Source organism: Homo sapiens, chromosome 1 (assembly GCF_000001405.40).
Source record: "Homo sapiens chromosome 1, GRCh38.p14 Primary Assembly".
Lineage (NCBI taxonomy): Eukaryota > Metazoa > Chordata > Mammalia > Primates > Hominidae > Homo > Homo sapiens.
Genome location: NC_000001.11, coordinates 62,313,034 through 62,335,890, shown reverse-complemented (window position 1 = coordinate 62,335,890; position 22,857 = coordinate 62,313,034). Strand labels below are relative to the sequence as shown.

The 22,857-nt window shown below is 48.0% G+C and overlaps 1 protein-coding gene across 6 annotated transcripts in view, besides 2 other annotated features; it reads left to right on the top strand.

The window, feature by feature from the left end:
* Window positions 16,417-17,139: an enhancer, noted in NCBI's record as "H3K27ac-H3K4me1 hESC enhancer chr1:62784423-62785145 (GRCh37/hg19 assembly coordinates)". NCBI's record gives its function as "activates a minimal SCP1, AML or CMV promoter by ChIP-STARR-seq in primed H9 embryonic stem cells {active_cell/tissue: H9 hESC(primed)}" and the evidence as "EXISTENCE:reporter gene assay evidence [ECO:0000049][PMID:30033119]".
* KANK4 (KN motif and ankyrin repeat domains 4) overlaps window positions 16,457-22,857 on the top strand; it is an 83,270-nt gene continuing 76,869 nt past the window's right edge. For all 6 annotated transcript variants that reach the window (NM_001320269.2, XM_011540845.4, XM_017000483.3 and 3 more), the window contains exon 1: window positions 16,457-16,785. The gene's annotated coding sequence lies outside the window, so the exon portion shown is untranslated. The remainder of the gene's footprint in view (window positions 16,786-22,857) is intronic.
* Window positions 17,140-17,864: an enhancer, noted in NCBI's record as "H3K27ac-H3K4me1 hESC enhancer chr1:62783698-62784422 (GRCh37/hg19 assembly coordinates)". NCBI's record gives its function as "activates a minimal SCP1, AML or CMV promoter by ChIP-STARR-seq in primed H9 embryonic stem cells {active_cell/tissue: H9 hESC(primed)}" and the evidence as "EXISTENCE:reporter gene assay evidence [ECO:0000049][PMID:30033119]".

The window sequence follows — 22,857 nt, the reverse complement described above, 5'->3', positions numbered from 1 at the left end:
TTTTGCCTTCACAGAAGTCTGCATTTCCTCTGCAGCCCTGCAGGAGAAAAGTTGCTCACCCACACTCCACGACTCTGAGGCAGAAACGGTGGCTGGCTTGTCCCACCTCCCTCTTGTCACTTCCACATTGTTGCTTAACTCATTCTTTGAGCCAAATGCCATCCAACTGTCCTCCTGATATGGTTTGGATCTGTGTCCCTGCCCAAATCTCATGACGAATTGGACTCTCCAGTGTTGGAGGTGGGGCCTGGTGGGGGGTGATTGGATCATGGGGGTGAATTTCTCATGAATGGTCCAGCACTATGCTCTTGGTGCTGTTCTTGAGATACTGAGTTCTTGTGAGACCTGGTTGTTTGTAGCACCTCTCCCCATCTCTTTTGCTCCTGCCATGTAAGATGCCTGCTCCTGCTTTGTCTTTCGCCGTGAGTAGAAACTCCCTGAGGCCTCCCCAGAAGCAGATGCTGCCATGCTTCCTGTACAGGCTGCAAAACCGTGGTGAGCCAATTAAAACTTTTTTTTTTAATAAATTACCCAGTCTCAGGTTTTTGTTTTTGTTTTTGTTTTTGAGACAGAGTTTCGCTCTTGTTGCCCAGGCTAGAGCACAATGGCGCGATCTTGGCTCACCGCAACCTCCGCCTCCCAGGTTCAAGAGATTCTCCTGCCTCACCCTCCCTAGTAGCTGGGATTACAGGCATGTGCCACCATGCCTGGCTAATTTTGTATTTTTAGTAGAGACAGGGTTTCTTCGTGTTGATCTGGCTGGTCTCGAACTCCCAACCTCAGGTGATCCACTCGCCTCAGCCTCCCAAAGTGCTGGGATTACAGGCGTGAGCCACCGCGCCCAGCCAGGTATTTCTTTATAGCAATGTGAGAACAGATGAATACACCTTCTAAACACTAAAAACAGTCCAGTGCCCTCTCACTGAATCCCTCAAGGCCTGGCTCATGGTCTTCCTCTCCAGCTCAAGTCCTCAGAGATTTCAGCACCTAGGCACACAACTGATTGGCCTGTACTTCTTGGATATCACTAACTCCAAGAGTCTCCACCTCCACTTTACTGCGGCCACCACTCCCTGACCCACCCTGGATCTTGTCATGAATCAGACTGGGTCATGTAGAGTTCAGTATCTTCCCTTCTGGTTGCATTCTCCCATCCTTTGAGCTATCTCATGACCTCACACCCATGACAACTATATTTGACCTCCAAGAGACCCCATCCACTGGTCCTTCCATTTCCTTCAGCCTATCAGTCTTCTTGGCTGTAGGTCCAGACCCTGTAGGTGATCATATGAACTGCACCCACACCATCCTCCTTGCACTGCTATCCTACCGTACCTTCCTCTCCTGACAAATCCTTGTTATTTTCTTCCAGTCTCATTGGAGATCCTTCAAGCCAGCTCCTCAGCTTGTGCATCTCCGGAGCCCTTGTCTGTTGCGTCCTCTTTTCTTCAACTCTCTCCCACTTCTGACATTTTCCCCTTGGCCTATATATCTGTCCAGTCTACTCCATCTGACAAGAACCCTCCATAAAGCCCCTCTATCACCTTCCACTTTGGCTTCATCTCATTGTAATCTATTCATGGTGTCACCCACTTCCTCACCGCTCATTCCCCAGCCCACTGCACCCTGGCATCAGTCCTGGCCACTCCATGGAAATTGTTTTCTCCAAAGTCATAGATTCAGGCATAATTGCTGTGTAACAAATTGCAAATTACCCCAAAACTTAGAGGTGTAAAACAACCCCCCCCCACTTTTTTTTGAGATGGCGTTTCACACTTGTCACCCACGCTGGAGTGCAATAATGCAATCTCGGCTAACTGCAACCTCCACCGCCTCCCGGGTTCAAGTAATTCTCCTGCCTTAGTCTCCAGAGTAGCTGGGATCACAGGCACCCGCCACCACACCCAGCTAATTTTTTGTATTTTTTTTTTTTAATAGAGATGGGGTTTCACTATGTTGGCCAGGCTGGTCTCAAACTCCTGACCTCAAGTCATCCACCCGCCTCAGCCTCCCAAAGTGCTGGGATTACTGATGTGAGCCACCATGCCCAGCCAACAACCCTTTTTTTATGCTCATGGATTCTGAGGGCCGGGAAGTTGGATCGGCCACACAGTACAGCTCATCACTGCTCCATGGGGCCTCGTCTGGGCAGGTGACTCATCATCTGAAGGCCCATGCACTTTCATGTCTAGCACCCAGGCAAAGACTGGGTCTGCCGACCAGAGACCTATACATGGCCTGTGTGTGTGATGTGGCTTCCTCACAGTGTGGCAGCCTCAGGGTGGTCTCGCTTCTTATGTGGTGTGCTCTAGCGTTCCAGCAAACAAGGTGGAAGTGGCATTGCCTTTTATGACTCTGAAGTCATTACGACTTTTATAGCCTCAGAAGTCCTATGGCATCATTTCCTCTATGCTTCATCAGTCAAAGCAGTCACAAGCCCACCCAGAATCAAGGGGAGATCATAGAGATCCCATTTCTCTAGGGGAGAGTGAGGAGGTTGCATTGTGGAAGAGCATGTGGGATAGGAAATACTGTTGCAGTTTATCTTTGAAAAATACAATCGGCCACAGACTTCAGTGATCTTCCGGTTACTAAATCCAAGGGACATGCCTTAGCCTACTTCTGCTGCTATAGCAAAACACCTGAGACTAGGTAATGTATAAATAAAAGAAATTTATTTCTCTCAGTTCTGGAGATGGCAAAGTCTAAGATCAAAGAACTAGCAGATTTGGTTTCTGGTGAGGGTTTGGTTTTTGCTTCAAGGCCATGTCTTTAATTCTGTGTCCTCACATGGTAGAAGACATGGAGGGACAAGCAGTTCTCTTCTATCTCTTTTCAGAAGTCATTAATCCCATTCATGAGGGCTCTACCCTGAATGCTTAATCACCTCCTAAAGGCTGCCCACCTCTTAATACTATCACACTGGTGATTAAGTTTTAACATATGAATTTTAGGAGGACACATTCAGAACATAACAGGATGTTTTTTAGTTAATATCTTGATCTCTTCTGTATTTTTGTTTTGTTTTGTTTTGTTTTGTATTTTGAGACATGGTATCTCTCTGTCACCCAGGCTGGAGTGCAGTGGCACAATCTCAGCTCATTGCAACCTTCACCTCCCAGGCTCAAGTGATCCTCCCATGTCAGCCTCCTCAGTAGCTGGGACTACAGGCATGTGCCACCATGTCTGGGTAATTTTTGTGTTTTTGAAGAGACGAGGTCTCACCCGCCATGTTGCCCAAGCTGGTCTTGAACTCTTGGGCTCAAGCGATCCGCCTGCCTTGGCTTCCCAAAGTGCTGGGATTGAAGATGTGAGCCACTGCTCCCAGCCTGTATTTGTTATAATTGATCATTCCCTGCTTCAGGAAACTGTCTACCTTGTCCATGTGGGTTACCACACTCTTCCAGCTCTAGACAGACCTTTGCCTACTACCCCCCATCCCCCACTTCATGTGCACCTCTGCCTTCCTGTTAACGAGAAAGTTCTCCAAGGGTCTGTTCTCAGACCACGGCTTAGCTCACTCTTTGGCTTCTCTCCTGTAACTTAGATTGCCATCTAGATGCCATTAACTCCCAAATCTATTCCACCATAGACCTCTCTCTAACAGTCAGTCTTGTATACCCATTGGCCTGGTGGATGTGTTCAAAGACAGCTCAATTTTGGCATGTCCAGCGTTGAACTCACTAACTTCCACTCTAAACTAGCTCCTGCTCTGGTATTCTTTTTCTCCCTTAGAGATATGTAGCTGCCCAAACTTTGACACCTCCTTTTCTGTCACCTCTCACGACTAATTACTTACTAAGTCATGATCATTTTGTCTCTTAAATGTTTCTACAATTTTTAGTTGTCATCATTTTAAAATTAGAAGATTAAGAATCAAAGCCAGGTATGATGCATGCACCTATAGTCCCACCTACTCAGGAGGCTAAAGTGGGAGGATCACTTGAGCCTAGCAGTTTGAAGCCACAGTGCGCTAAGATGGTGCCTATGAACAATAGCTACTTCACTCCAGCCTGGGCAACATAGCAAGATCCCATCTCCAAAAAAAAAAAGAATTGGAGAGTCAGAAAGATTGTTATTTTCCAAGATTAAACAGCTATCATCTATTTATTCTTTTATGTGTTAATCCACCACTTATTGATTACAACTAAGTTCCAGGAACTGTAATGAAAAAGCTTGTAAGACATAATCTTTGGTCCTTTTCATGGGAGAGATAAGGAAGCAAGCACTAGATTACTATAAGGTGTGATAAATGTTGTGATCATGGGAAACATTGGATACTACAGGGGCAAGAATCCAACCTGGATGGGCTAGGCAAGGTGGCTTATCCCTGTAATCCCAACATTTTGGGAGGCCGAGATGGGTGGATCACTTGAGGCCAAGAGTTTGAGATCAACCTTGGTAACATAGTGAGACCCTGCCTCTACAAAATATTTTTTAAAAACCAAAAAACTAGGCTGGGCGCGGTAGCTCATGCCTATAATCCCAGCACTTTGGGAGGCCAAGGTGGGCAGATCACCTGAGGTCGGGAGTTCGAGACCAGCCTGACCAACATGGAGAAACCCCATCTCTACTAAAAATACAAAATTTGCCAGGCGTGGTGGTGCATGCCTGTAATCCCAGCTACTCAGGAGGCTGAAGCAGAATAGCTTGAACCTAGGAGGCAGAGGTTGCGGTGCGATTGCACTCCAGCCTGGGCAACAAGAGTGAAACTCCGTCAAAAAAAAACAAAAAAACCCAAAAAACTAGCCAGGCATGGTGGCTCATGCCTGTAGACCCAGCTACTTGGAAGGCTGAGGTTGAGAGGATCACTTGAGCCTGGGAAGTTGAGACTGTAGTGGGCCATGATTGCACCACTGCACTCCAGCTTGGGCAACAGAGAGATCCTGTCTCAGAAACAAAAAACAAAACAACAACAACAAAATCCAACCTGGAATGGGAGGGAGGAAAGTTGGGGTTGTATTAGTTTTCTATTGTGTTATAACAAATTACTCCAAATTTTATCTGCCTAAAACAATAAATATGTATTAGCTCAAGTTTCTGTGGGTCAGAAATCTGGTACAGCTAAGTTGGGTGCCTCAGGCTCAGGGTCTTCCAAGACTGTAATCAACGTGTCAGCTGGGGTTCCGATCATCTCACTGCGTGATCAAAGGAGGTTTCACCCTGAAGACACTCACTTGGCTGTTGGCAGGCTTCAGATCCTCACTGGCTATTGGCTGAAGTTGTCATTTTCTTGCCACGTGAGAGCAAGAGCTTTGAGAGAAAGAGAAAGAGAAGAGAGGGAGCTCAAGCTAGAAGCCAGTCTTTCTGTAACATCATCTTGTAACATCCCATCACTTTTGCCACATTCTGTTTTTTAGAAGTGAATAGCTAGATCCAGCTCATACTCAAGGGGAGGAGATTACACAAGGGCATGAACACCAGAAGGAGAGATCACTGGGGGCCATCTCAGAGACTATAAGAGAGACCAAAGGAGATGACTTACAGCAGGTGATGTCTGAACTAGACTCTGAAGGAGTTAGCTAGGTGAAGAGTTACAGGACTGTCTTAGCAGAGAACGCTATGTGTGAAGTAATCTGGAAGGGAGAGAGTCTGAGGCTGGAGGAATTCCACGCTCAGTAAGGCTGGAGGATAGGCTGCCGTCTATGTGGAGACTGGAGGTAAGTTGATGCTGTTGAGATGCATTTGACAGCTAATTCTGTCATCCAATGGTGCCTCCCAAGTTAATGTCAAATTCCTTGCTTAATATGCTCTGGTTCACTCTGCTTTTGCCAGGTTTTAAATTGTTAATCAACATTAAATGTTTCATGTACACACAAATAAATATATATAATCAAATTATCAAATAAAAAATTGAACTTACAACCTCTTTCCTATTTACAAAAATGGTTAGAGCAGTTTTTCAGTAGAGCACATTTATAAATCATTACAAATGTGAAAAGCATGACTAGAATTTTCAGTTATCGGTGGGTGGAAATCCCCTGACACTTTGGAATATATTTATTTACTTTTTTTTTTTTTTTTTTTGAGAGAGGGTCTTGCTCTGTCACCCAGGGTGGAGTGCAGTAGCACGATCTCAGCTCACTGCAGCCTCCACCTCCCAGGTTCAAGTGATTCTCCTGTCTCAGCCTCCCGAGTAGGTGGGATTACAGGCATCTACCACCACACCAGCTAATTTTTGCATTTTTAGTAGAGACGGGGTTTCTCCATGCTGGCCAGGCTGGTCTCAAACTCCTGACCTCAGGTGATCTGCCTGCCTTGTCCTTCCAAAGTGCTGGGATTACAGGCGTGAGCTACCGCACCCAGCCTTATTTACTGTTTTATTTTTTTGAGATGGAGTCTCACTCTGTTGCCCAGGCTGGAGTACAGCGGCACAATCTCAGCTTACTGCAACCTCTGCCTCCTGGGTTCAACAGATTCTCCTGCCTCACCTTCCCAAGAAGCTGGGACTACAGGTGTGTGCCACCACACCCAGCTACCCAGCTAACTTTTGTATTTTTAGTGGAGATGGGGTTTCACCATGTTGGCCAGGCTGGTCTCAGACTCCTGACCTCAGGTGATCCACCTGCCTTGGCCTCCCAAAGTGTTAGGATTACAGGCATGAGCCACCGTGCCCAGCTATTTACTTTTTTAAATAAAATTTTACATTCAACTATAACACTCATAGAAAAGCACACAAATAATAAAGGTACGACTCAATGAATTTTCACTAAGGAAAATATCATCTAGATTTTTAAAATAGAACATTGTCACTCCCAGTCTCCCCTTGTGCCACTTTCCAGTCACAAACCCTCTCTCTTCCCCAGAGATAATCACTACCCTGACTTCTGTTATCACAGGGTAGTTTTGCCTGTTTGAACTTTATGTGAATGGAATCATACAGTCCATACTCTTTGTGTTTGGAACTCATCATTTATTTTTGTGAGACTCATACACGTTCCTGCATGTAGTAATAGTTGGTCCATTTCACTGCTCTATAGGATTCCATTGACTAGACTACCATGTATGTAGCTATTCAACAGTGACTAGAACTTTAAATTGTTTCCAGTTTGAGGGAATTATGGATAGTACTGCTATAACCATTCATGATTATGTCCCATAGTGTACACATGTACACATTTCTGTTGAGTCTATGCCTAGGAGTGGAATTGCCAGGTCATAGGTATATGTATATTCATGTTTAGTAGATACTGACAGTTTTCCAAGATAGTTGCACTAATTTACACTCCCAGGAGCAATGTGAGTTCCATTTGCTCTACCCCTACATCCTTGCCAGCACTTCATATCTATATTTTTATTATAAGCTATTCTGAAGAGTATGCAGTGATATCTTATTGAGGCTTAATTTGCATTTCCCTAATAACTAATGATGTTGAGCAATTTTTCATATGACTCACCTTTTAAATATATTCTTTTGTGAAGTGTTTGTTTATACCTTTGCTCATTTCTCTCTTGGGTTGTCTTTTTCTTATTGCTTTGCAGACATTCTTTATATATTGCACGAATTTACTAGGGCAGCCAGACAACCATAATAAAGTACCACAAACTGGATGACTTGAATAACAGAAATGTATTTTCTCAAAGTTCTGGAGCCCAGGAGTCTGAGACCAAGGTGCTGGCAGAGTTGGTTCCTTCTGAGGGCTGTGAGGGAGAATCTGCCCTGGCTTCTGAGGGTTAGCTGGCCATTTTTGGTATTCCTTGGCTTATAGATCTCTACCTTCATCTTTACATGGGCTTCCCCTGTGTGCGTGTCTCTGTGTCCAAATTTTCCCTTTTATGAGGACACCAGTTATATTGAATTAGTGATGGTAGCAGCTGCTGGCATCACGCTCGCTGCAGCTGCCCAAATCATGGCTGCAGACCCAGGCCTCCTGCTCTATGGATCAGGAAGGAGCCCCGCCCTCCTGAGTGGGGCTGCAGCTGCCCAAACTGCGGCTGTGGATCTGAGCCTGTGCTCTTGGTGGGGGTCCCGGGAGCAGGCAGGATCTGCCCTCCTGGGTGCAGCTACAGCTACCCGACCAGCAGCTGCAGACCTGGGCTTCCCGCTCCACAGAGCAGACAGAAGCCAGAGACAAACAGGAGCCCCGCCCCTTACGAGTTGGCCGGGGCGGGAGCTCCCCTGGCTGCTCTCCCAGGCACAGGACCTGGGCATCTCTGTAGCCTGCACCCTCTGGTCCTGGGGAGACGACCTCCACCCCCACACATCATCCCTGCAGACTCAGGGGTGTCTGCTCCCACTGCCTGGCCTCTCTCCACTCCTGCTGCCGGCTCAGATCTTGGAGCAGGGTTGGGGCTGAGCCTCGAGTCCGTGAATGGCAACGGGAGGGAGACAGAGTCCTGGGCGGAATGGGGCGCGTCCCTGGTAAGGCCCCGCCTTCAGGCCAGAGGCTTCCAGTCCCACCGACCAGACCGGAGTGAGGACTCATGGTGCCTCTTCCAGGCCTGCCCATGGCCGCCCATGGACCATTTGGCATGCATTTCTTCCCCTCCAAGGTCCATAAAAGCCCCGGGCTTAGCTAGAGCAAGAGAGGAGGGAGAGAACGGAGAGAAGAAGGCACAGGAAGACCAGCTGCAGAGAGGAGCTACCCTCTCTGCTGAGAGCTTCAGAGACCTGCAGAGACATCCGGACTACCAGCTGCAGACAGGAGCAACCCTCTCCAGGGCCTCCTCTCTGCTGAGAGCAGCAGACGTCGGGATAACCTGCCTACAGAAAGGAGCTACCCACTGTGGGTCTCCTCTGAGCCGTTCTAACACTTAATAAAGCTCATCTTCATCTTGTTCACCCTTCACTTGTTTGCATATCTCATTCTTCCTGGACACAGGACAAGAACTCAGGCTGGCCACAGAGGTTTCCAGCCAGAAAATTGACACCTCAAAGATTCTGTAACATTAGGGCCCACCCTACTCAAGTATGACTTTATCTTAACTAATTACATTTGCAATTACCCTATTTCCAAATAAGGTTGCATTCTAATGTACTGGGGGTTAGGACTTGGACATATGAATTTTCGGTGGGCACAATTCAACCCATAACACATATGTTTTGAAAATCTTCTGGCTGGGCATGGTGGCTCATGCCTATAATCCTAACACTTTGGGAGGCTGAGGCGGGCAGATCACTTGAGCCCAGTTCAAAACCAACCTGGGCAACATGGCAAAACTGTGTCTCTACCAAAAAAATACAAAAATAAGCCAGGCATGGTGATGTGTGCCTGTAGTCCCAGCTACTCAGGAGGCTGAGGTGGGAAGATCGCTTGAGCCCCGGAGGTGGATGTTGTAGTGAACTGTGATCGTGCCACGCATTCCAGTCTGGGCAACAGAGCCAGACCCTGTCTCAGGAAAAAAAAAAAAAAAAAGGAAAAAATAAAAAATATTCCAGTGCTTTGCTGTTATATTCTTTTTTTTTTTTTTTTTTTTGGACAGAGTATTGCTCTGTTGCCCAGGCTAGAGTGCAGTGGCATGATCTCAGCTCACTGCAACCTCCACCTCCTGGGTTCGAGCAATCTCCTGCCTCAGCCTCCCGAGTGGCTGGGATTACAGGCGCCCACCACCGCGCTCGGCTAATTTTTGTATTTTTAGTAGAGACGGGGTTTCACCATCTTGGCCAGGCTGGTCTCGAACTCCTGACCTCATGATCCACCCACCTCAGCCTCCCAAAGTGCTGGGATTACAGGCATGAGCCACCAGGCCCGGCCGCTGCTGTTACATTCTCTTAATGGTGTTGTAGTACATTAAAGATGGCAATAAATTCTTTTTCACTCTCTCCATTGAGAGTTGGTGTTTATTACCTCCTCCCTTGACAAAAAGCTTGTCTTATGACTGATTAACCAATAAAAACATGTTGCAAGTGATCCTGTGTTAGTTCTGGGTCTAGCCTTGAGAGAAATGCAGATTCCATTTGTTCCCTCTTGAAAGGCTTGTTCTTGGAACGTTCACTCTTGGGGCCCCAGGCTGTGAGAAGCCCAAACCACACAGACAGGCCATGTGTAGGTGCTCCTGAGTCAACAGCCCCAGCTGAGCTCCTGGTCAGTAACCAGCATTAGTCAACCAGCCATGTGAAAAAACCATCATGGACATTCCACCCCAACTGAGCTCAACCACAGCCATCACCTCCTCGGGACATTGAGATTTCTGCACTTCCACTTTTAGGTTGTGCCAGAGAATGACCCAGGGAACCACTCTCACCACACAGCAGTGCACATAGGTGAATCGGGGTTGAGGCGCCCACTGGCCCAGCTCCGGGAGCATTGCGTGGGCTCGGACTGCTGAGATAGTGGCGCCTCTGGGCTGATGTGCGTTTTTCTAGGTGAGGAGCTCAAAGGGCCTAAGCGAGTGTGGCAGTGAAATCAGCGGTGGCAGAGGCAGAAAGGCTGCCGTGTCACTAGACAGAATTTCTGTGCTGGCTGGGCTCGCCAGGAAACATGCATAGAGAGTTACGGTTGGGGAAGTTTATCAGGAACAGCCCCTGTGAAAGAAAGGCAGAATTGGGCAGGGAGAGCTGTCAAATGGCGATGCTCTGAGCAGACTGTCCAGAAAGGAATCCTGCCTTGAGGGGAAATGGTGAGGCCTCATTCCACCTCTTTGCTCAGTCATTGCCTGAGAGCTGCCCAGAGGCCACGGAGACCTCAGCCAGACAGATGAAGGGGTGTGCTGGAGCCAGCTTGCTCTGGCTCGCAATAGCTGATTGTGAAATTTTCAGGAATTTTATGAGCCAGTTGTTAAAGACAGTCATTATTACAAATTAAATTATGTAAAATTACAATTGAATAAAATATATTAAAAACAAATCTAATACAGATGGCAAATAAGCACATGGATAGATATTCAAGATCATTAACCATTAGGGAAATACAAACGAAAGCTATGTTTAGATATCTCTAAACACTGATGGCTAAAGTTTTTTAAAACATTGATAATAACAAGTGCTGAAAAGGATGAGGGGCAACCAGATCTCTTGTACATTGCTGATGGCAGTGTAAAATGGTACAGCCATGGCTGGGCATGGTGGCTCACGCCTGTAATCCCAGCACTTTGGGAGGCTGAGGCGAGTGGATCACCTGAGGTCGGGAGTTCAAGACCAGCCTGATCAACATGGAGAAACCCTATCTCTACTAAAAATACAAAATTAGCCTGGTGTGGTGGCGCATGCCGGTAATCCCAGCTACTCAGGAGGCTGAGGCAGGAGAATCTCTTGAACCCAGGAGGCGGATGTTGTGGTGAGCCGAAATTGTGCCATTGCACTCCAGTCTGGGCAACAAGAGTGAACTCTGTCTCAAAAAAAATAAATAAATAAATAAAAGGTACAGCCACACTGGAAAATTTGGTAGCTTCTTTTCCTTTCTTTTCTTTTCTTTTCTTTTCTTTCTTCTTTCTTTCTTTTCCTTTCTTTCCTTTCTTTCCTTTCTTTCTTTCTCCTTTCTCCTTTTCTTTTTTTTTTTTCTTGACAAGGTCTTGCTCTGTCGCCCAGGCTGGAGTGCAGTGGCACAATCTCAGCTCACTGCAACCTCTGCCTTCCGGACCCAAGTGATCCTCCCATGTTAGCCTCACCACCATGCCTAGCTAATTTTTGTTTTTGTTTTTTTGAGAAGGAGTTTCACTCTTGTAGCCCAGGCTGGAGTGCAGTGGCGTGATCTCGGCTCACTGCAACTTCTGTCTCCTGGGTTCAAGCGATTCTCCTGCCTCAGCCTCCCAAGTAGCTGGGATTACAAGAACCTGCCACCATGCCCAGCTAATTTTTGTATTTTTAGTAGAGATGGGATTTCACCATGTTGGCCAGGCTGGTCTCGAACTCCTGACCTCAGGTGATCTGCCCACCTTGGCCTCCCAAAGTGCTGGGATTATAGGCGTGAGCCACCATGCCCAGCCTGCCTGGCTAATTTTTGTATTTTTTGTAGAGACAGAGTTTCTCCATGTTGCCTAGGCTAGTCTCGAACTCCTGGGTTCAGGGGATCCTCCCACCTCAGCCTCCTAAAGTGCTGGGATTATGGGCATGAGCCACTGCGCCCAGATCGGTAGTTTTTTATAAAGTTGTACATACATTTATCATACGAGCTAGCAGTCTCACTCCTGTGTATTTATCCTAAAGAAACGAAAATTTATGCTCACACAAAAACCTGTACAGTGTTCTAGACATAAGAAAGTAAATGAGAAAGGTTAATATTGCATACTAAATTTAAAAGTGTGCCATGTCTGTACATTGTAAATAGTACAAAATATTGAGGGATATTCTAGTATTTGAAAACAGTTATCTGATTCACAAAGAAGTCACTCATGCTATTGAATAATGAAGTTCCCAATATACACCTTTGTTCTTTTACTTTCATTTTAATCCTTAATGTAAACAAAAATACCAATCAGTGTTCATGTCAGAATCATACCTGATATATGTTGAATAAGGAGTCTTTAAACAGAAATACAGGTAAAACAATGTTAGATATTAATGGGCTGATGAAAATGTAACCAGAGGCCCTCAGGAACCTTATTCTGTATTTCCTCTAAGAGCAATGGTTCAATATTCACGATTTCAGTGTTTGAAGCCACTTTATAGAACTTATAGAACTACAGAGAATACTGAGAACCCACTGTATATATGCACACATTTCTCCCTGCTAAGAGCTGTTTTTTTTTTTTTTTTTTTTGAGACGGAGCCTCGCTCTTGTTACCCAGGCTGGAGTGCAATGGCACGCTCTTGGCTCACCGCAACCTCCGCCTCCCAGGTTCAAGCAATTCTCCTGCCTCAGCCTCCCGAGTAGCTGGGATTACAAGCATGCACCACCACGCCCAGGTAATTTTGTATTTTTAGTAGAGATGGGGTTTCTCCATGTTGGTCAGGCTGGTCTTGAACTCCCGACCTCAGGTGATCCACCAGCCTCAGCCTCCCAAAGTGCTGGGATTACAGGTGTGAGCCACCGCGCCCAGAGAGCTGGTTGTTAAACATTACCAATACACCACTGACTGCAGGAGCTCACCACACTGGGGGCTGCCAGCAAACCACATGGCTGCAGCCTGGCAGTCCTGTCTTAAAGTGGGATCTGAGTGATACATCTCCATGTTGGCCCCAATTTCCAAGCCTACAGTTAGAGAGGTTTATATTTGGGTCACAAAGATGTAAGTTTGAATCCTACCTCCCCAATTTACTAGTTGTGTGTCCTCAGGCAAGTAACACTGTGCCTCAGATCCTCAATAAGAGAATAGCTATTTCGGTTTTGTTGTGAGTCCCAGTGAGATTGTGTCATGTATGTGAAATGCCAGTACATGGTAGATAGTGTGAAAGGAAAATATCTTGGGTCCCCAAAATCACTAAGGAAAACTCAAGCTGGAAACTGCTTAGGGCAAACCTGCCTCCCATTCTATTCAAAGTTATCCCTCTCCTCACTGAGATGGATGCATATCTGATTGCCTCCTTTGGAAAGGCTAATCAGAAACTCCAAAGAACGCATCTGTGACCTGGAAGCTCCCTCCCACTTCACTTAGAGTCTTCCTGCCTTTGCTTCAAGTTGTCCCACCTTTCAGACCGAACCAACGTACTTCTTACAATATTGATTGATGTCTCATGTCTCCCTAAAATGTATAAAACCAAGCTGTGCCCCGACCACCTTGGGCACATGTCATCAGGACTTCCTGAGGCTGTGTCACAGGCACGTCCTCAACCTTGGCAAAATAAACTTTCTAAATTAACTGAGAACTGTCTCAGATTTTCTGGGTTCACAAAAGTGACTAGTATTAATCCTCCTACACATGACCCCAAACTCCAGTAAAGGCACAGAGATGCCCCATTCTGTCTGCTGCTCAGTCCTTCGATTACGGAGGATCAGACTGCAGTAGCATTGTGCCCAGTCATTCTAAATCAGTTTTCAACACGAGTACTCACTCCGTCTGAAAGGCCCAGGCTGGGTCCTGCAGTGGAGATGCCCAAACCTGAGATTTTAGAGATCTGCTGCCTGAAAAAGTTTCCCTCTTTCCAGGACCATACAAGGGGCCCCCTTACAGTCTAACTCCTGATGCTTTCCTGTCATGACAGGAATAGTAAGCAATGTTCTTGCTGGTGTCTCGGTGTCTGGGGCTTCTGGTTTTGTGTGGGGTGGGGAGGTGGGGGGGGAGTGGGGGTGGGGATAGAGGATTTGCTTAGTCTGTTTTTCTCCCAGTTTCTCAATACCCTAACCTGGGCTTCAGAAGCCCAGGCTGTCCCAGTTCAGATCTTGCTTTCTCTGACTCAGCTTTACCCTCAAGACACAGTCTCATCTCTGAGTCATCAGACTGGTCTCCTGCTTTCGAGGACAGCAGTCTGGCACTCCCGCTCCATCTTCCCAGGAAAGGTGCTGTCTCCACACCCCAGTCCCAGCCCCATGCCTAACTTGGCTCACAATACCCAGAACCAAGAAACAAATTCTCCATGAGATCAGAGAATGCCCAGAGAAAAGGTTCCAGGACCAGGAGTTGTGGAATGTCTGGTTTCAGTTCCAGCTCCACCAATTTGCTTGTGTGACTTTGGGCCAGTTCTGGAGCCCACCTGAACTGGGCTTCCTCTTCCCTAAAATGGAAATATGATCCACACTGGGTCTATCCCACAGGGATGTTGGGAAGCCCAAATGAAAATAGTGTGAAGTGCCCCCAAACAGGAGAGCACAAACCCCTGGCCTGTAGGCTGGATCTGATCCATAAAGCCATTTCCTTTGGCTTGAACAGTGTTGACCTATGTAGAAAGTGTTTAGCATTATACAAATGAGCTCCTAACAAATTTGGGGCCTTCACTTAAATATCTGACTTATGGCTTTTTTTTTTTTTTTGAGACGGAGTCTTGCTCTGTCACTTAGGCTGGAGGGCAGTGGTGCGATCTCGGTGCACTGCAATCTCTGCCTCCTGGGTTCAAGTGATTCTCCTGCCTCAGCCTCCTGAGTAGCTGGGATTACAGGCACGCACCACCACACCTTGCTAATTTTGTATTTTTAGTACAGATGGTTTCACATGTTGGCCAGGCTTGTCTCAAACTCCTGACCTCAGCTGATCCACCCACCTTGGCCTCCCACAGTGCTGGGATTACTGGCGTGAGCCACCGTGTCCGGCTGATGGCTTCTTTTTCAAAATGGGAGGATCTGGCCACATGAATCCCTTTCCCTAGATGACAAAATAGACTGAGCTGAGTAGCAGCAGCCCCTTCCCTTGGGCAAGAACCTGGAGCTGCTATCAAGCTCACCACAGTCCCCACCACTCCCTACTATGTCCCAACACTGGGACCAAGTCTCTGCTGCCATTTATTATTGCTCTGGGATATTGATTTGCTCCAGTGGAGCTCTAGTGGAAGTGAAATCGTTCAAATAACCATATTTCTATAAAAACGTAAAATGAAAGTCCTAGAAAGTACTCCCCCATCTGGGTCACAATGTCAAAAACGAAACCCCTTTGCCTAAGTGTTAGCCCTTGCCAATGGGCCCATGAAGGATGCCCATTGTGGGGGTCAGAGCTGGCATCCGGAGTCTTACGGGGTCCACGGCCCTCTACTTGCCTATCTCTGTTGTCTTCATCTGTAAAGGAGGAGTAGCAGCAGCTCCTTTTTCCTAGGGTTAGGGTGCACAACGCCCACCAGGCACTTAGTGAACTGTTCATTCAAGGTTAGCGGTTGAAACGCAAACATTTTGAACTGATAAAAAACTCTGGTGGGCCGGGCGCCGTGGCTCATGCATGTAATCCCAGCACTTTGGGAGGCCGAGGTGGGCGGATCACCTGACGTTCGAGACCCGCCTGGCCAACATGGTGAAACCCCGTCTCTACTAAAAATACAAAAGTTAGCTGGGCGTGGTGGTGTGCGCCTGTAGTCCCAGCTACTCGGGAGGCTGAGGCAGGAGAATCGCTTGAACCAGGGAGGCGGAAGTTCCAGTGAGTCGGGATCGCGCCACTGCTCTCCAGCTTGGCCATAGAGCGAGATTCCGTCTCAAACAGCAACAACAACAACAAACCTTTGGTGGGAGGTCGGAGTGTGAAATGAAAGACTTAGGGTTCCTGAGTGGGACTACAGCAAGGATTGGGAAGAAAAAAAGGAGATGGAAAAAGACGATTTAGGAGAGGTAAAAGTTCTGTTACTAGGACCCCAGCCCTCACTGGCCCACATCCGCTGGCGAGGACCTAACTTACTGCACCCAGCTTCCCAGTGGCCAGACCTAGGTTCCAGTCCTGGCTGGGGCAAGTCATTACCTTGTCTGGTGCTGTTTCTGCACCTATCAAATGAGGATGGAAATGTCTAGATGAACCGAGATAAACGCATACGAAAGCACTTTGGGAATCTGAAAAGCGCTATGAACAGGTTAGGAGTTTTTGGTCTCTTTTCAAAAAGTTTTTCTTCTAAGCTCATGTTTATCAAGGGCTTTTGAGTTTATCGAGGCTAAGACCCTCCCCTCGGTTTCGCAATTCTGCCCCTTCCTACACACCAAAGTCCGCGCCGCGTCAGGAGTCTTTTTTTTCTCCCCTAGCGAAGGCGGGGACTCGGGCGCTGTTGGCAGCTGGCGACGCGGGGCGAAGCCGCGGCTGGCGGCGCCTGGCCAGTCCCGCATCCGCCGCGGTGGGTGTGCCCGCAGGGGTGCGCCGGGGCCAGGGCCGAGACCGTCGGCCAGAGGGCGCCTGGAGGGTGTGCGCGCCGCGGACGACCAGGGTGCGCCAGCCCCGGGGTGCGCGCCTGGGACGCGGACAGTGCACCCGGAGGTTGCGTGCGCTCCGAAGCCGGGGTGTGCGCCTAGCTGCCCCGGCCCCGTGCACCGCGGGCCGCCTCGCGCAGGACTTCCGCAGCTCGCCAAGGTAAGGGACTCTGCGACCCCAGTCCCCCGCAGTGCGTCTGCTGGGGTGTTCAACACCCGCCCTGCGCGACCCGAGTGTTGGCCCCGGCGCTCGACCACTCTCCTCTTGCCTCTGCCACCCGCCTCGCCCAGTCCCCAGCGCCGCGTCCCCGGCTCCCTTTAAAGCAGTGGCTGCGGCAGCTTGGGCCGACCTGGCGCCCCCGCCTCCCAGCCTGGGGTCTGCGACAGAAAAGGAGCGGGGCTGCTCGGGCTGCCCAAAGGTGGGCGCCGCTCCCTTTCCAGCCCAGATTGGCTCTCCGCGCCCCAATTCTGGGGGTGGAGAACACTGGTGAGGAGGGGGAGGCCGTGCTGTCCTTGCGACTCAGGTGGTGCAGCCCCCGCCCAGCTTTTCCGAGCTAGGCGCTGCGGTCTGGGATGCAGCCTGCGGGACTGGGCGTTCTTTGCCGCGGGCTCCCACTGCTACCTGGAATCGAGCTCTTAGTCTCTCTCCTGTCGCAAAAGTCTCCCCGTAGTGCCAACCCTGGCACTCCTCGGCCCCTGGCTGAACTTTCCAGGGCTCCCTTTGGGCCGCGACCTTGGGCGGAGGCAATGGGGCAGCTCCGAGTGCTCTAGACGCCGCCGAGGGCGCTTTGCCCAGCCCGCATGCCTCCTGTGGGCTCCTTTCCCTTCTGCCTCTCCGGTAAGGTCAAATCTGTGACTGGGTACTTTGACCCCGCAGACTGGCCAGAAATGGGAGTTGGAAAGTCGAGCCCATGGCCGCTACGCTGGGTCTGAACCTAACTCTTGCCCTGGGCATCCTTCGGGGCTGCCAAACTCAAGTCTTAGTTCCTAAGCGCCCTGGAGTGCAAGCCTTTAGGGCAAAGAGGGAGTATTTTCCAGGAGAGGGAGGAGGACCCCCTGAGGCCTGGGCAAAGTCCTATCTACCAAATAGGGCCAGAGGAGGATCAGATGCAGCCAGTGACCCGGCTGAGGCATGGGGAGAAAGCATCTTGAGTTAAACACGATTCCCAAGGACCTGCTTGGGTAAATCAAGCCCAGGTTGCTTAGAGCCTCTCAAAATGTGACACAGGAAAGCTACACTGGGAATGGAGGCAGAGTCCGTTCTAATACTGCCTTTTCAAGCCCAGCCTTCCCACTTCACTGGACCATAATGTGACCTGGGGAAAGTGAGTTTTGGGGAATGGCTCGGGGATCAGACCAGACTGATTCAATCAACAAATGCTCTGTGCCAGGCACTGGTCAACGTAGTGAGGTACAGAAGTGAACAAAACTGGCACCTTCTGGCCTCATGGAGCTTGCATTCCAGTGGCCAACACCAACAGGAATTAAATCACTCACATAAATAGAGAATTCTCCAGTGCTGAGTTCTTTGAAAGGACTAGATACCCTGAAAACCTGATAGGTCCAGTAGTCGGTCAGTCTGCAGAATGACAGGAGAGAGTGGAATGAGCCTTCTAGGCAGAAGTAGCCGCGTGTGAGAGGGCCTAAGGTGAGTAGCAGAGTGGGTTAGAGGAACTGAAAGCCTCTGTTGGCTGAGTTACTACCAGGGGCCCAAATGGGCAGTCCTTTAGTTGTGCATCCCATTGACTGGTCCAGTCAGTGCCTTCCTTTCTGAACTGTAATAATGAGCAGTTGGAAGTCCCCTGGCTAGATCATAGTGTGGGGAGAAGGAGAGAGATAGACCAATAGCACCTTGCTGGACTCACTGCCCCATGTGTGCACCTTGGTCAGACAGCCCATGCCTGCTCGTGGTGCCAAGAGCAGCGAGCGGTTCATTCCCTAATGTCCATTCAGCTCACAGTGAACCAAAGCCTCTGCCCAACATTTAGGGAGATTTGTGCTAGGAGTGGTGGCTCATCCTAGACTTTTAAAACTAGAAAGAACTTGCTGACAGTGTAAAATTCCTTAGGGTGGCATACATGGCATTTCCTCATCTGGGCCCTACCTGCCTTCCCAGCCTCACTTCTGGCTCTAACACTTTCCCGGCCCCTTGCAATGAGCACCTTCAATATGTTCAGCACAATTATGCTTCAAGTGGTTCCTGGGCCACGCGTTGCCTTTGCACATACTACTACCCTTGGTCTGAAATATTATTCTTGCCCACCCAGTGAATGCACTCTTAGCTTTGAACTTCGGCATTAAACATAAGGTTTTTTCCCCTGCAGAAGGCCCTTCCTGACAAGATAGAGGCAAATGCTGCTTTCTCTTTGTTCCTAAAGCTCCCTGGACATGCTTCTGTCACAGCAAACATCAGCTACACTGAGCACCTTAAAAACAGGGCTCTCCAAGTACCTAGCACAGAGCAGGGCACATAGAAGGTGTTCAAAAAATGCTTGTTGGATGGAAACTGTCCTGTCCAGTATTTCTTAACTTTTTTATATGGGGAGGGGATGGTGGTTATTGCATATATCTTTGAGATTCTGATGAAAATTATGGATACTCTCCTCCAACTGCATAAAACCTAAAATATCTTGCATACAATATTACATGATTCACACCTCCCTGCTCCATTAACCCATTTCCAAAACTTTGGACTTCAATTTTACAGAAAATGGATGCTCAGTGAGGTGCGATGACTGCCTAAGTACCCACAGCTGGCTATGAGTAGGGATTCCTAAGCTCCTGACTTGCAGTTTAAAGCTCCTTCCAGCTCTGTCTGCTTCTCTTAGCCAAGCAGCCTCTTTTCGTTCCTGGTACTTTATGAAGGCCACTGCTCATGGCTGGAAGATGGATATCTTGGTTTTGCTTCAGTTCAGTAGCAGCCTAAGGTGTGACAGGGAGAAAAATATTATGGGCAGAGTTGACAATTAGGAAGACAGATGGGCCCTCTCCCTGGCCTGTTCACCGCCCTTTGCCTGCAATATTATTACATCTGTTTTAGCTGGAGGAGGGTCACTTGTGCTTCACAGTTACCTCCTGGGTCCTGGATTGGGCCATGTGGGCCAGACTGGGGGACGCCCTTGGTGGACCATTGAGATCAGAGGCCCAGCTATTGACCTTGTCAAAGGTTTCTTCCTGCAGAACAGGCTAAGGAGAGAACGGGGTTCTTGCTTGCTGCTACCAGAGCTCTTGCCTGCCTGGCCCCTTTCTTAGCAGATTGGGATTTTCATTGATTCAGGAATTCACCCATTCTTTGAAACTGCATTGAGCCTCTGCTCTGTGCCAGGACCCGTGCTGATTCCAGTTTACAAGACAGGGCCATGGAGTATGTGCTTGTGCACTCGTGGCTCTGCTCTGCAGGGGGAAGGGAAGAGGCAACTTTTACTCCTAGTTCAACCTGCACTTCGGTAGGTATGGTGGGGAGGATATTTAGGACTTCTTAGTGCTGAGAATATGCTTACTTTTATTTATTTATTTTTGAGACAGGATCTCACTGTTACCTAGGCTGGAGTGCAGTATCATGAACATGGCTCACTGCAGCCTCCACCTATATACTTACTTTTAAAACTCTGATGTTGTGCAAGTTATGTCATCTGTGGGCGGGGGGACTCAATTTTCCTATCTGTACAATGGGTTTGAGAACAATCCTTTCTTGCCAATTTCTGGATGATGGCGTGGATACAGTTATCACAGAGCCACTCGATTGTGTGTGAAACAGGAACAGTACAATATCATAATGTACATGTGTGTCGATCCCTGGCATAGTCAAGCCTCACCCTTATCCTAGAGTTAGTTACTGCCATAATCCCCAATGTGTAGGTAAGGAAATCGAGGCTCAGAGAGGTTAAGTGACTTGCCCAGGGTCATGGTCCATATTAAATGACCATAAAACTGGGATTTCACAGAGCCCTCTGTCTTTGGAGATCAGACGGCTAACCACTTTGTGCTACACTGTAGTAGAGTTTGTGGGAAGAGGCATGGGTTTGGAGGTCAGTGTATCCTGGGATTGGAGCCTAGATTCACCGCCAAGCAGCTGTGTGATTTACAGCTGGTCCATAACCTCTCTGTGCCTCAGGACGCCAATCTCCCAGACCAAGTTTGGACTAAGAGGCTTCTAATGGGCCTTTCTGTGAACAGCCTGCAGTCTACACAGATAATATTTCAAAGTAGGATTAAAGGAGAGAAAAGGGGCCCTCCGGCTAAAAACAGGGCTGTCACAGTTTCCAGGATAAAATAAATGCTGTCCAAGATTTAAAGTACGTAGATGGTGAATGTGATACATGGGCAGTTATAGATTGGTGGCGTCTGAAGAAGCTGGCCGAGCGTTCCTTCTCCAAGAGAAAGAAGTCCTGTTTTCAAAAGGATCACTTCACTGTCTCGCCCAGGCCCTGGGCTCTGCCCCCTCAAATAGCTTTCTGGAGACACAGGCATTGTGGGAGAAAACACAAATCCCAGTTCCATCACTCTCCTCATTTTTTCCCCAAAAGTAAATAAAACTTGTTGGTTGGATAGATTTTTTTTTTTTTTAATGTGGCTGTGGCTTTTCCCCCTTTGCATGGAAGGATCCTTTGTGTCTGCAGAGTTTCCTTTGGTATGTATTTCTAATTTGTGGCTCTGACGTCAAATGACAAGGGGGGAGAGAAATACAGCATAGGGAGAATTTGCTCCACACAAGGATAAAAGAGCAGCCTTCGGTGCCGATTCCCCTCCACATCCTGGTTTCTGCCCAGCAGCCCGGAGACGCCAGCTCTCGGTGCCATCGATTTGGATGTTCCTAGCAGGGCACCAGGCAGCAGGGCTGAGTGTTTTCAGGCGCTGCGCTCAGTTCATCGGTGTTTCCCACCCCGCTCTCCCTTCTGCCTTGGAAAATGTAGCCATCCTACTCCTGGGGAAAGGTTTAAAAGACAGAATGGAGGCTGGGCGCAGTGGCTCACACCTTAATGCCAGCACTTTGGGAGGCTGAGGCAGGCCAATCACCTGAGGTCAGGAGTTCGAGACCAGCCTGGCCAACATGGAGAAACCCCATCTCTACTAAAAATACAAAAATTAGCTGGGCATGGTAGCACATGCCTGTAATCCCAGCTACTCAGGAGGCTGAGGCAGGAGAATCGCTTGAACCCAGGAGGCAGAAGTTGCAGTGAGCCGAGATCGCGCCACTGTACTCCAGCCTGGGCGGCAAGAGCAAGACTTCATCTCAAAAACAAAACAAATCAAAACAAAACAAAACAAAAAGACGGAATGGCAAGTTCGGTAGTGGCTGAATATAATAGTGTGGTCAGGGTCTACAGTTATTAGGTACGACGTTGAGTATGAATGGGGAGGGCATTTTATCAATGTTTAAATTTAAAAAAAAATTTATTATTTTACTTTTAGCTTGGGGATACATGTGCAGAACGTGCAGGTTTGTTACGTAGGTATACATGTGCCATGGTGGTTTGCTGCACCTATCAACCCGTCATCTAGGTTTTAAGCCCCGCATGCATTAGGTATTTGTCCTAATGCTCTCCCTCCCCTTGCCCCTCACCCTCAGCAGGCCCCAGTATGTGATGTTCCCCTCCCCGTGTCCATGTGTTCTCATTGTTCAACTCTTACTTATGAATGAGAACATGCGGTGTAATGTTTGAATTTTTAAGAGATTATTTTCATGGATCATTTGTGTGATTTGAAATAAAAAATAATAACAAAAGGCATTACCCACCTGCCCCTCCATAATAGGGTGTTTGGGAGTGAGAGGAAAAGAAAGGGAAAATGGCTTCACCATTTATTATCCCCGTGAGCCTGAGAACATTATTCAAGTTTACTAAACTTCAGCTTCTTTGTCTATATTAATAAAATGGTGCTGACCTGGGGCTCTTGTAACACAGAAAACAGAGACTCCCTTGAGTTGTGGTTCCAGGAAGAGACTGAGAAGCCATAAAATGCAGTACAGTAGTACCTCCTTTCCCATGGGAGATACATTCCAGGACCCTCTGTGGATGCCTAAAACCATGGATAGTACTGAACTCTATATATACTATGCTTTTTCCTATGCATACATACCTGTGATAAAGTTTAATTTATAAATTAGCACAGTAAGAGATTAACAACAATAACAAAAGACAACAATTATAACAATAATACTGTAACAAAAACTATGTGAATATGGTCTTTCTCTCTCTCCCTCAAAATGTCTTAATATTTTTGGACCTTCATT